The sequence below is a fragment of the Homo sapiens genome, chromosome 13 (genome assembly GCF_000001405.40).
Source record: "Homo sapiens chromosome 13, GRCh38.p14 Primary Assembly".
NCBI lineage: Eukaryota > Metazoa > Chordata > Mammalia > Primates > Hominidae > Homo > Homo sapiens.
Window position 1 is genome coordinate 99,003,231 of NC_000013.11, and position 14,800 is coordinate 99,018,030.

General features: G+C 41.4%; 1 protein-coding gene across 17 annotated transcripts in view; it reads right to left on the reverse strand.

Moving 5' to 3' along the window:
• The window catches only part of DOCK9 (dedicator of cytokinesis 9), a 295,191-nt gene that overhangs the window by 209,802 nt on the left and 70,589 nt on the right, over positions 1 to 14,800 (reverse strand). For 6 of the 17 annotated variants that reach the window (NM_001366677.2, XM_006719936.2, NM_001366676.2 and 3 more), the window contains exon 1: positions 12,217 to 12,555. The exons of the other annotated variants lie outside the window; for them this stretch is intronic. In NM_001366677.2, coding sequence (NP_001353606.1) covers positions 12,217 to 12,378 — 162 coding nt within the window. In that variant the 5' untranslated portion in view covers positions 12,379 to 12,555. Of the gene's footprint in view, positions 1 to 12,216; positions 12,556 to 14,800 lie in introns of those variants that run through there. 17 annotated transcript variants of the gene reach the window in all.

Consider the following 14,800-nt stretch of genomic DNA (forward strand, 5'->3'; position numbering starts at 1 on the left):
AAACACACTCAGACAGAGGTCTTCAAGCCGTTGGCATTTATTTCTTTAGCTAAGATTCTGTTTCCAGATGCACAGCAGGCTCTCCCCATCCCTGAGCACTCAGCTCCAGGCTCCTTTCCCAGCTCCTTCTCCTGTCCCTTCCAGGGCCCTTGGCTCTTTGCCTTCTGAATACGCTCACCAGGAGATCTCATCCCCTTCCATCCTTCATTACCAGACATCTGTCTGTGCTGGGATCCACACTCTAGCTATGGTCCTACTAGTCGCATCCCACTGGTTTACATGTTGTGATGCGCTAAACCTCAAACTCAAGATGTCTGGAACTGAAATCCTCCTTTCCCAATTCTTCCTGATCCATTCCTTCAGTGCTCCCACCTCAGCAGGTGGCACCCTGGAGGTGCCCAGGGCACAAATACCAACACTCTTGACTCCTTGTCTCTTATTTAACTGCCAAATCTCTCATTTAACACTCTCTTAAATCTTCTATCTCCTCCACCACCTGCTTCAGGCCACCATCACCTGTGACCCCCCAATGACCTCCTCACTAGTGTTCCTGTCTTGAGACCTCTCCTTTCTCTAAGCCGTTATCCACCCTGCAGGATAAGTACAGTATGAGATTCATTAAAAACATGAACATGTTTCTTTAAAACCTTCACTAAATGGCTTCCCTCTAATACAGGAATAAAGTTCCAACAAGACCCACCATGATATGTCCCCTGCTTACCTCTCCAGCCTCACTGGTCACCCTTCTACTCCCACCATTGTCCTACAGCCTGATAAGCCCCCTCCAGCACTGTGGAATTACTAGCAGTTCCAAGGAGCCCTCAGCTCTCCCTCCTTGGGACTTTGCTCCCTCTGCAGAAACGTCCCTCTCCTTCTCCTTCACCTGGTTAAATCCTTCTACAAGGAGCCCTGCGTAGGTGCTTGTGGTACCTGTGCTTACCCCCATCATGGCCCATATCCCACGTGGCAGCCTTATGGGCCCTCTGAGAGCAGAGATTATGACTCTTTCATATCATACCACCCTGTAATTGGCAAACATCCAATGGATGTCTGAGAACTGAAGAAAATATGGGAGGTTGGGGGAGAACAAGGAAAAGACCTCAGGATTCTCTTCCAGTTGTTCTTCAACAATAAAGAAAGCACAAGGAAATAATAAGTTACAAGACTGAGTCTTTGATAATGTTGTTACCTGTTTCTTAAGCCTAGAAAATATACAGGAAATACCAAACATCCATAAAACTATTTAGCATACAGGACTGCATCTGAGAATCCCATAAACAGTCTCACTCCACAGACTCTGCAAAGGCAGAACCTACTCAAGAAGCAGAGAAAACACCTATCATCGGCAATTGGCTCCAAGTGGTCCCTCTGCTTCTGTTCACAAGTCATTTCTACTTTGAGTCTCCTAGGATATGTGTTTTTCCTTGGCAGAGAAACAAATGCTGATTGAAACGTATCCTAGGATGAGGTCATTCATTGTTCATTGACATTTGAAAAATAGTAAAGTACACCTTTATTCAATATTCTAGTACTGCATTGACCAAAAAACTATAGACACACACACACACACACACACACACACACACACACAGTCACATGTACTTCACACACACATATTCATATCCAAACCTTCGTATACACTATAAAATCTAGTTAAGGAGGGAAATTAATTATCCTTAGAATTTGTATAATGTATAAAAGGAAAACCAGAATGTACTCTTCATCTATAAATGTACAGATATATTTCCTGCAGACATGAATAGACTTTGTTTGGAAACTCTGCTAGCACCTTTGCTTATATTTTGCTGGGACTTCTTTTGTTAGCAAAGACCGGATATACCAAAAAAAAAAAAAGAGTAGATTCAAATCAAGGTTACTTGAGGATGCAGCTGCCACGCTGGAATTTTTCTTTCATCAAAATGCCCCAGAGAGTCCACATAAAGACAAGCTTGATCTATTTTATGAACAGGCTATTTACTGAGGAAACAAACCTACAAATATAATTAACTGCTCACTTAAACCTTAACCCTTAGCTCCTGAATCTTAACCAATATGTCTCATAAGATCACTTAATTCAGCAACTTACGCAGTACAGTCTGTTTATTCTATCTTTAAATTATAGAATTTATGTCTCTCCCCAAATTTCTTGTTTTCATTTTTCCTGAATTGCAATTAAACTGACAGCTGTATAAGAACCTTGCTTTTGCAGGGCACAGAGAACACTAAAGAAAAAAATGGGGAGTAGGGGAAAAAGGAAAAGGCCTTAGGGTTTTCTTCCAATTGTTGCAAAGCCTAGTATATAAAAGAACATAAAATATAATAAAGGCAGTATCACAAACCACTGAGTAAGGAATGGATTATTCAACATGGGACTGGGAAAAATGGGTAGGAAATTGAATTAGGATCTTAACTAAACTATAAATCCAAATAAATTCTAAATCTACTAAAGCAGGGCACAGCAAACTTTTTGCAAAGGGCCAGCTAGTAAATATTTTAGGTCAGCTGATAATATTTATCAGGTGACTTTATCAGCTGACTTAAATAAGTGTCTGTCCTAATGACTCAACTCTAGCACCATTAAAGCAGGCCTGGACAATATAAAAAAACAAATGTGGCTATGTGGCAATAAAACTTTATTTACAAAAACAGACAGCAGGCCAGATTTGCCCCATAGACTTAGTCTGCTAACCCTGAGGGGAAAAGACAAATAGTAAATAAACAAACAAATTCCAAAAGAAAATACTGGTGAATATCTGATCTCAGATAGGCAAGAATTTCTAAGCATAAAGGTAATGGAAGAAACCACAGAGGAAAAGATGGTTATGTATACCATTTACATTCAAACCTCAGTTAGTAAAATAAGTACCATAAAGAAATTAAACAAAATCAAAAGGCAAATGACAAAACAGAGAAACACGTGATGAAGATAACGAAGGATTTAGAGTTTGAAAGGTGTTATCTTTTGTTTCTCAAACTGGCAAAAATGATGCTAGCCAGGATCATATATAAAAAAAGCACTAATAGTCCCTGCTGCTAGGAGTGTAACTTGGATCAGTCATCACACAATAAAACAATATGCCTTAATAGGCCTTTAAAAAATTCATTCTTCGCAAGTTCACTTTTATAAATCTAGCCTACAAAAATAACTATAGATCCACACAGATTTTTGGGTAAAGATGTCTTCTGTAATCTCGATTTATAACAACCTAAATACTGAACAACAGAGAAGTATTTAAATAAATTCCCGTACATATATTACAATGGAATACTATACATATGTTAAATCATGTTTTAGCAGAACTTTATGGGCATAAGAAAATGCTCATAATAAAATACAGTAAGTGAAAAATGCATCAGAAATTTTTATGGACAATTATCCCTTTTTTAATATTTGCAGAAGCAGAGAAAAATATCAGAAAACACATACCACAAATTAAGCAGTTTTGGTTTCTGGGCTGTGAGTTATGGGTAATTTTTGTTTTCCTCTTATTCTTCTTTGTGGTCTCTAAATTTTCTACAGTACTTATGTATTCTAAATATAAAAGACAACAAATGTTACTTTTAAAAAGCAAAAAGCATGGTGGGGTGTGGTGGCTCACACCTGTAATCCCAGCACTTTGGGAGGCCAAAGTGGGTGAATTACTTGAGTTCAGGAGTTCCAGACCAACCTGACAACAAGGTGAAAACCCGTCTCTATAAGAAATACAAAAAGTTAGCTAGGCATGGTGGTGCTTGTCTGTAGTCCCAATTACTCAGGAGGCTTAGGTGGCAGGATGGTTTGAGCCCAGGAGGCAGAGGCTTTAGTGAGCCAAGATTGCACCACTGTACTCCAGCCTGGGTGACAGAGCCAGACCCTGTCTCAAAAAAATAAAATTTAGGCCAGGTGCAGTGGTTCACGCCTGTAATCCCAGCACTTTGAGAGGCAGAGGCGGGTGGATCACGAGGTCAGGAGATCAAGACCATCCTGGCCAACATGGTGAAACCCTGTCTCTACTAAAAATACAAAAATTAGCTGGGTGTGGTGGCACGTGCCTGTAATCCCAGCTACTCGGGAGGCTGAGGCACAAGAATTGCTTGAACCCAGGAAGGGGAAGTTGCAGTGAGTTAAGATTGCACCACTGCACTCAAGCCTGGTGACGGAAGAAGACTCCATCTCAAAAAAAATAAAAATAAAAATTTAATTTAATTTAAAAATTAAAAAATAAAAAGCAAAAAGGTCACTGCTTCTCACTAAGGCCATGGGAGAAATAGAAATCAACTTCAGCAAAGCAGTAGCAGCTTTATTCATCTGTTTCTACTCAGTATTTCTGCTGCTGCTCTTTACTTCTGAATATCCATGAAATAGCTATATCAACTCTAAAAGGGTGAAGACCTCTCAGAACAAACACATTCCAGCCCCCACAATGGAACATTTCAGAACTCTCCTGGGATGTTTAAGAATGCTCATGATCATGCTTCCAGAAGCAGAGGCAAAATTAGTGCTAATTTGAACCCTGATATGACTGTGTTACTTGCCTAAGTATACAGCAATCTAAGTCACTGTATTCTGTTCAACAGGTGACCCCATCATCAACTTCATAAATAGCAATGATGAAAACAAACTGCTCGAAGTCAGAAGAGGTGAACACAAACTTTCTTATCTTGAATTTTTAAAAATCTCCAAATAATCTTTCTGGAGGGTAGTCTGGCTATACATACCAAAATCCTTTAACAAGTAAATATATTTTGAGCTAGCTACTCCAGATCTGGAAATCTGCTAAGAAAACAATTGTATAAATGTTTAAAGTATATATGCATAGATATTTATCACAACATTTATAATTGGAAAGGAAAATGGAAGAGAAGGTATAGGTTAAATAAAATGTTACATCTGTAAAATGAAATGACACCATTAAGAATGAGACATAAATGTCCATTCATTGACATGAACAGATGTTTATGATATATTGTGCAGCCTCTCTCTCTCTCTCTCTCTCTCTCTCTATATATATATATATATATATATTTTTTTTTTTTTTTGAGACGAAGTCTCATTCTTGTCCCCCAGGCTGAAGTGCAATGGTGTGATCTCAGCTCACTGCAACCTCCGCCTCCCGGGGTTCAAGCAATTCTCCTGCCTCAGCCTCCCGAGTAGCTGGGATTATAGGTGCCTGCCACCACACCCAGCTAATTTTTGTATTTTTAGTAGAGACGGGGTTTCACCATGTTGGCCAGGCTGGTCTCAATCTCCTGACCTCAGGTGATCTGCTTGCCTTGACCTCCCAAAGTGCTGGGATTACAGGCGTGAGCCACCGCGCCCGGCCCATGTGGAGTCTCTTGAAAGCAAGATACAAGACTATATAACATAACAACATTCTTCTTATACTCTACTTGTATCTTAGTCAGCTAAAGCTGCTACAACAAAATACTATAGACTGGGTGGCTAAGCAACAGAAATGTATTTTCTCACCATTCTAAGACTGGAAGTCTGAGATCAGGGTGCCAGTATGGTCAGGGCCTGGTGAAGGCTATCTTGGCTTCTTCCAGTGTCCTCACTTGAGTTGGCGGGGTCCCAGGAGGATCATTTCCTCTTTAAGGCCACAGTACTATAAGATTAGGGCCCCGCCTTTATGACTTCACGTAACCTTAATTACCTCCTAAAGACCCTATTGCCAAACACAGTCCCATTAGGGGTTAGAGCTTCAACATATGAATAGGGAGGTAGGGGACACAATTCAGTCCATTGCAACTTGTTACATATATTTTTATGAATAGTGGTATTTGTGAATGATATCTGGAAAGGTTGTGTCTCAAAATGTTTAAAACAGCAGTTGTCTCTGTGTTCCTGGACACTGGCATGCTTAGTTTCTACAATAAGTGTGCATTACTAGTTTATACTTTAATAAATATTAAAGCAAAGGAATCCCACTGATAAATAAGACAGTATATTTTAACAAAGTTCTGGGGAAAGGTCTGGCCCTCTCTCGTGCTCACACACATTGGCTGCACTCAAAAGCAGCCACAATAGAGCAGGGCAATCTTAGTTATGACACAGGAAATGGATCAAGGAATCAGAGCAGACTGTTCCTTGAAAACATCAGCCTAGTTTACTGTTGTGATCAAAACAGACAACAAAACCCACCGGGCATCATTAAGAAAAATATTAGAACTAAAATGGAAAACAGCCTACCCAAACCATGGTGCTGTGACCAGACTTGGACCCAAGGAGTATTCTGGCACTAGAAGGCAGCCAAGCAGGCTCCGGGCCTTCATGACACCTCGAGGCAGATAAAACCGATATAAATGTACAAGAAAAAGCCATGAGAACACCTAAGATAATCAAGATCTGGCCTCTACTTTCCCTGCCTGCCTCCAGCTAACAGGTATTATTATTCCATTTTCACATACCTTGTCACTGATTATTCACTTACCTCTCAGCCAGCCCCCGAGATCCCACCTGTCCCCACCCCCAAACCCACAGACACACAAGCAGGATGGGGGCTTTCAGGGGCCAGAAAGCGTATCATCTTCAACTCTGCTGTCTTTGCACAGTGCACACATTCAACAAATGACTGTTAAATAAGTACATGATCAATTAAAGGATTTTTTTCATAGCCGGTAGGTTTTTCTCATTAGAAAAGACTGTTTAGTCCTTCGGGACTGTTTGGGGAGATTAAAGTGGTCTGATAAAAGTTTATATAGTACTAAAGTATGAAGACATGTTGAAGACAGTTAGGAAATCTTGTAATGACAGAGACATGAAAAACTTTAAGGTTTTAAGGCCATAAGGTAAAAAAAAAAAAAGAGAGAGAAATATTAATTTACAATGGGTAAAATTACAGCTGCATTATCCCAACATGTCACAAAAGAAACTGAAGACAAGTTTATTTTCTCCTCTTGTGACAAGCACTTTGCCTGTATTACTGCTCTTCATTAAGCAGCTGACAGGGTCCTAGCTGCTGTTAAAGTTCTAACCGAGCAAGTTCTTCCACTTCAGTTATAATTGGCAAAAACAGAACATGTTGAGAATAATCCATCAGCTCTTCAATTCTTCCACAGCTACTTGACGTGGAATATGATATTGGTAGCTATGAGTAAAATAGGTCAATCCTAGCCAGAAGGCTAGCCCCATCACAAACTTGCCTAGACAAGGAAAAATTGAATTGACAATGTGTTTTGTTTCAGCCCAAGCTTCCTTCTGAACCTCCACTGGAGATTCTAGGCTGAGCTATCCTTTCCTGTCCTCAGGCAGTACCTGCGTGTCCCATGTGTCAGCGTCCCCATCATTTTTGTACACTCAGCACACATAAGCAATCAAGACTGCTTCCTAAATGAGTTGAACTAACACAGTCAATTAATCCGAAAAGGGGAAATACTTTAGGAAAAATCTACACTCAGGAATAAGATCTTCCCAAATCAGTCTTGTCCCTCAACTGTGGTAGAATTACTAGTCAAAATGTAGGTGTCTATACTTGAAATTCAGCCTGTCCCCAACTACCAGAGAAGTACATCTCCTAATGTAGCGCCCACCATATGGCTGATTCACTGTTTAAATATAAATTCCAGTAGGAGCCTGAACAGCCCTAGCCTTACAAAGCTAAATCCTGCACTCAAGACATCTGTTTGTTACTTCAGAGCCATCCTTAGTGATGGTAAAAAGGCTTTTTCTTCACTATATGCTTCTCTGTTAACCTTTTTACCTTTCTGAGTCAGGGTCTCACTCAGTCGCCCAGGCCGGAGTGCAATGGTGCAATCTCGGCTTACTGCAACCTCCACCTCCCAGGTTCAAGTGACACTCCTGCCTCAGCCTCCTGAGTAGCTGGGATTACAGGCAGTGCCACCATGCCCGGCTAATTTTTATATTTTTAGTAGAGACAAGGTTTCACCGTGTTGGTCAAGCTGGTCTTGAACTCCTGACCTCAAGTGATCCACCCACTTCGGCCTCCCAAGGTGCTGGGACTACAGGCGTGTGCCACCATGCCTGGCCTTACCTTTTAATTTATATTGTAACTTATTTCAAAAGGATTTAAAGTTATTTACATATATACATAATAAAATTTAAAAGTATTTTAATAAGCAGATGATAAAAAGCAGACTGATAAAATGGCAGGTAATATAAAAAAATAAGCAAAGTTGAAGGGCAATATAAAAGTCATTTTGAAAAAGCCTAGAACCTGCTAGAATTTGGTCATATGTTTGGAAATAAGCTTTAACAGTTAACTGATGACTTGGCTGGGATCAGCTACATGAACCAGACTGTATATAAAATGAAAACAAAGTAGTTCCTCATGAAAAGCACAACCATTCATATTATGAAGAGAAGAAATTTATTCCAGGGCTCCTCATAAAAGGAACACCAAAAAACAGAAATGACAATGATTATAACAGCTAACAATTAACACTTATGTGCAAGACAATCACCTAGGAACTTTAGACATACTCACTCATTTAATAGCCCTATGAGGCAAGTACCATTATTATCTACAAATAGCAGATAAGGAAACTGAGGAACAGAGTGGTTAAGTAAATTACCCAAAGTCACACAACTATTAAGTTGTGAATTTAAGAGGATTCAAACCCCAAAGGCTGTCTCCAGTATCAGCATTCTTTTTTTGTTTATTTGTTTGTCTGAGACATGGTCTCCTTCTGTCAACAGAGCTTGAGTGCAGTGGTGCAATCACAGCTCACTGTGGCCTCAACCTCCAGGACTCAAGTGATCCTCCAGCCTCAGCATCCCAAGTAGCTGGGGCTACTTGGCATGCACCACCACGCCCAGCTAATCTTTGTATTTTTTGTACAGACGGGGTTTCACCATGTTGCTCAGGCTGGTCTCGAACTCCTGGCTGTCCACCCGCCTTAGCCTCCCAAAGTGCTGGGACTACAGGTGTGAGCCACAGCGCCCAGCCCAGAATCAGCACTCTTAACCACCATACTACAGTGCCTCTTGCCATTCCAATAGCAAGTAAGCAATGCCCTCAATAACATCCTTATAGTAGATTCCATTTTCTTAAGTATGTTTCTTATGACGTGCTTCAGTATAGGGCAAGAAAAAAATCACAAAGCTTAGATCAGAAACAGAAATTCCACTGAGGACAAACTAGGCAGACCAGGCATGTGGTTCTCTGACAGATGGATAGATATTTGGGACATCTAGGGTCTTCAGAAGAATGGGTGGCCTCGAGCCCTTTAGGCCATCCTTCATGAATGTTACATTCCCTCCACAAAGGCTTGGTGCACACTGAGTAGCTGAAGTAGGGGTTTTGCTTTCTGAGGGCAGGTGAAATACAGCTCTTACCTGATGACAGTTAAGCCAGAATCACAGGCTGGAGCCACCACCTGAGCTGGAGGTAGGACAGACATCCTACCCAAGCTGAGAACCCTGGTGCAAACCCACATATGAAGATAAAGTCAGCCTATCTTTGCATGGGGGTGACCCAAGGAAGTACCAATGGGCAGGGCTCCCTTAAGAAATGCGTCATCAATAGAGGTAGTCTGGACAATATCCAATTGTCAGTCATTACCACTGCAAGCCCAGGGAACATTCAACCATGAACCACACAACTTCTTGGTGTGTGTTCTTGGTAACCATGACAGAAGGGTTAGAAGCACACCTCTAGGGAGTGGAATGGTCAACAGGCTCAGAGAGATCATTAACAGAGAGCCAGTTACTGTTTGGGGAAACTAAAAATTTAAAAAAACACACATTTTGGCTTTAGAATAAGTGATTTTAACTAATCTTCTCAGTAGTTTCTCCAAGTTCAAGTTCAGGACCGTAAAGCCATTTCATCAGCATTCCCTCATTGATTGAGCATTTACTATAGAGCCAGGCACTGTTCTAGCTGTTAGGAGAAGAGCAGTGAATAAAGCGTACAAAAATCCCAGGTATCATGAATCTGATTCTTTTTTTTTTAAGCAATAGGATCTTGCTTTGTTTCCCAGGCTGGAGTGCAGTGGTGCACTCACAGCTCACTGTAAACTTGAACTCCTAGGCTCAAGTGACCCTCCCGCTTCAGCCTCCTGAGTAGCTAGGACTACAGGTGTGTGTCAACATATGTCTGGCTGATTATTTTGTTGTTGTTGTTGTTGGTAGAAACGAGGTCTTGCTATGTTGTCCAGGCTGGTCTTGAACTCATGGCCTCAAGCAATCCTCCTGCCTTGGCCTCCCAAAGCACTGGGATTACAGGCGTGAGCCACCACACACCTGGCCATGAATCTTGTTCTTGTTGTACTATAAGTGTACTCCTAGTAACACATACTACTAATTACTATTACTACGCTTATGCTGTTATTCTGGACAAAGAATACGTCAGGTGAAGAAGAAACTATACAGGATCTGGGGAAAGGTGTGCCGGGGCATTTTAGGGTTAAGCAGGGGGTCACAGGAGCCTCACTGAGAAGGGGGTCTGAGCAAAGGCCACGCAATGAATGGTGCAATCCCTGGTGGAGATGTCCTGGGAAGTAGAAACAGCAAGGCAGCCTGGGTATCCAGAACGAGGTGAGGAATGAGCAGCAGAGAAACAGACACACAGGTGAAGAGAAGGAGGAAGTGCTGGAGACGGGGCTGGAGGCTGCTGTAAAGATTCTGCATTTGACCCTGAGCTGCAGAAGGTCCAGAGCAGAGGAGTGACATGGTCTGACTCGTTTTCAGAGGGCCACTCTGCTGCGTGCAGAAGAGGTCCCAGAGGGCAACGACACCAACAGAGAGACAAGCGTGGAGTGAGAGGGCGCATCTTTCCATCCAGCAGCACCTCTGCCACATGCACAGACGGCCTGCTGGTGCAGGCAAGAGTGGTGGGCAAAGAGCAGCCGACAGGATGCATGACAGCAGTGTTCTAGAATCCCAGACCCAGAGCTCTGACAGAGCCCCTGGCAGGTTACTCTTCCCCCAGGCAATAAAAGAGAAAAGAAAAACAAGCAGAATCCCTTAAAGTCAGGTTAACCAAAGACAAGTCAGTCTGGTCTGAGGGAGCAGAAGCTTGCCGCATGGGAGGGGCACTGCCATTACTGGCCCAAGCAGGTCCCGGGCTGTCTGGTTATGGATACACTAATGGAACAGAGCGCTACAAGGAGCTAGTCCTTCTAATCTCTGATACCAGTTATTCGCAAAAGCATATTCCAAAATACCTCAGAGCTTAAAATATTTAACAGTTAATATAGCACCACTTAAATTCCAACATACATAACACTGACTTGCAAAATGCATCTGATGCCTTGAGTGATGCTCTCCTTTCTTCCTCCCACATATTGCGAGTGCTAACATAAGACCCTCCATAAAATGCATCCTCTCTCTGGGTTCCCGCAGGCTGGGACCACCCAATCTGATCACAAGGGCATATGGCATGCCAATACCCCCTTCTCAGTCTCAGATGGTAGCCTCACCAGCCGGGAAAGGTCTCAGCATTTCTGCATGCTTCGCTGTACCAAGCAGCTGCTGGCAAGACACACACAGAAACTCTGAGATATATTTGTCCCCACTCATTTTGACAAAAGCTGTGAGAAGAACAGAAGGAAAAATGGCAAGGCATCCTGAGAGAGGAGGAGACCCATATGTGGCTCCTCACAAACCTGGTGCTGGTGGGAAGGCCACAAGAGGCACACCCATCTGTGACTTGACACCTCTTCATGCCTGATAAAGGGACAGAACACGGAAGTGTCATGTCAAACTGCACTTCCTCTCGCTCTCAAGACCCTTCACCCCAAAACATGTTAAGTAGCTGGATTTTTTAAAAAAATAAAACTATAAATATTTGTCTCATACCCATCATAGTTTTCTTTCATGCTCCCTTTAAATTTCTCCCCCCCGCATCAAGGACTGGCCATAAGCCATTAGTAAGAAAAACCTGGCCAACTAGAAGACTGGAATGTAAAGGGGCTAAATAATTCACTATAACTGGGAGACGGTTCACATATATAATACCCTAAATATACACTTTACCACATATTATTTCTAGGACTATACCAAGAACATGTAAGCTGATAAAGCTACATTAGAAAACTATTCTTTAATAAAATATCTTATTCCTTTCTCTGTATGTATTTAGCTTTGATGAATACATGGCATTCTCACACATACAAACACTCACTTCATAATTTAAACTTAAGGCCACTAATTACCCATTTATACACACAGACTACATACATATAAGTACACTTAAATAAATATATTTGTTTACAAGTAAAGACTAGTTTATTCTAACACCATTAAACTACTTGTTAATTAAGCAAGATAGCATTTACCAGCCAGGAGGAGATCAATAGTTCTGAATCTTCTTTTGTCCAATTGTATGCTGTATATTCAAGGGCATTATTCTCTCCTTGCTGTTTGCACATATAAGCACAGTTTCTTTCAAAAACGGTGCGGATGCCTTTAAACAGAATCACACTAGTAGTGCAACCCATCCCCAAGGTGTGGATGTTCAGTTTTTTAGCAATCTCTACTCCATTTCCACATCCTCTTCCTTGGCTCTTCCGAAACAGGCTCCCACTGTACCATCTTCGTGACAAGCAGTCACCGGTACTGGAACAGAAGGGAAGCTCTGAGCTGCCGTACTAGAATCCGCTCCTGCTCAACAGCCTGACAAAAAATCCAGACTCCGAGTGTAAAACAGGAGGGGTGGTGCAAACACAAGATGACACACCTCGGATGCACCAAACCTTTAAAGTATCGTTTTTCTAGCTGATTGCTTCACTCTTAATACCAAAGAACAAATAAGCAGGAGATTTACATGTGGCTCTACTGGAAAACTGCCGGCTCCTGTGATTTGCTTGGGATTGTTCTGAATCTCAGAACCTGCCCAAAATGAAAAAGACAGTGCCAGACAGCCACACTGCTGCAGATGCTGCTGGGAGGCACAAAGAATGTTCATCTGCTGCAAGAAATCGCTCTCCCAGAATGCTTAGCCTAGCATCTATATTAGCAAACATCTCTTTCCTTGACCTAAATATGCTGTTTATTTAATCCTGCATCAGCGGGAAACAGAGAAGCAAAGGAAAAAAAAAAGTCCAAAAAACGAGTGAAATCTCTAAGATGACTGCTGCTATGGAAACACATGCAAGCCCACTTCAAACAATCTTTTGCACGTATGGATAACAGCTTGCTGACAGCAAACCACAAGGGAACACAACATTGCTGTGTCGATCTTGACTTCAGCCCACCTCTACTCTTTGCTAGAGAGGGCTAGCAAGATTGCACTGCTTAAAAGGATTCTCCCGTCTCTGGTACCCAAAGATGCAAATGAGAACATGAATAAAGGGCTACCCAGTCTGGCTAGATGCATGCCTTCTGAAGCAGCACTCCAGTATGCAATGGGAAATACATGCTGAGGTCTCACAGTCAGCATGATTATGTTTGGTGTGTAAGTAATCCAACTCCTTCTACTGTAGACTGAACTCAGTGACACTACACTACCTCACGTGAATCTCTGGGAATGGCTAACAGGGAAGCTTGTCAATGATATGATACCAAGTTGACTCTTGCCATTTTCCTTCTTCAACAATGAAAGGCTAACTATATAAAAAGACCATGCTGCACATACAGGAAAACTTTTCCCAGCCACAATATGTAACTAGGAAAAAAGTGATCAATCTTTTAAAATCTGCTCTGATATTATTCCTTATTTCACAAGGCAACAGATAATTTCATTTCTCTCTATAGATGTGAAAGTTAGAGTGAATTAACTGACTGAGTACCTGGGGGCTGTGTAAACCCACGCATGTAGTAAAATCATACCTGTAGGGAATACCATCCGGGCACGTGATCCCATAATGTCTGTTTTCTATGAGTAGTTTAGCCATTGGGCCCCACAGAAAACCAAAAATCTAGGCTTATTCTCTCTCCTGTATTTTTATGCAAAGTGTGTCTGATAGCTGTACAAGATCAAAGATGGGGAGATGTTGGCCACATGCAAAAAACAGGATGACCCTCTGGGGTCTAGAGCATTCCACTTCCAAAGGGTGATTCTGTGAAAACAGAGCTATAGGGTTCAAGATTACACCCAAGTTGTGACACTAGGAGAATCTTCATGCGAAATCACAATGCTGACAGATAAACAACTAGAAACTCACCTACCCAGAAACTGAATATTGGAGACTATAAAACACTAAACACATAAGTTAAATGTCAGTTTTGAGAATTCAGAAAATCTACCAATTAACCTGACTCCTATACAGCAAGAGAAATAGCTTTAAAAGCAATAGTTCATTCAACAGAAATAAAGAGAGTACCTGGAAATGTAAAATTAATTTGTTATTGTTATGACATATTTTAGACATCCTGCCTGCAGAAGCCAGGGAATATTATTTGAGATACAAAAGATTACGTTTGAACTTTACCGAGAATTAGAAATAACCAAGCAAATTGGAAGCTGCTGGTATATGCTGTTTGATTTACTTTTAGAACCCTCCATTCGTGTTTAAAACAAGAGTCTAAATCAGGAGTGTCCAATCTTTTGACTTCCCTGGACCACACTGGAAGAAGAATAATTGTCTCGGGCCACACATAAAATATACTAACACTAATGATAGCTGATGAGCTTTAAAAAAAATCACAAAAAATCTCATAATGTTTTAAGAAAGTTTACGAATTTTTGTTGGGCCACATTCAAAGCCAGCCTGGGCCACATGTGGCCTGAGGGCTGCGGGTAGGACAAGCTTGGTCTAAATGGTCTCACCACAAAAAAATAAAGAAAAAAGGTAACTAAGTGAGGTAATAGGTGTGTTAGCTAACTCAATTGTGGTAATCATTTCACAACATATATCATCATATTGTATACCTTAAATTTATACAATTTTGCCAATCATATCTCAATAAAGCTAAAAAAGA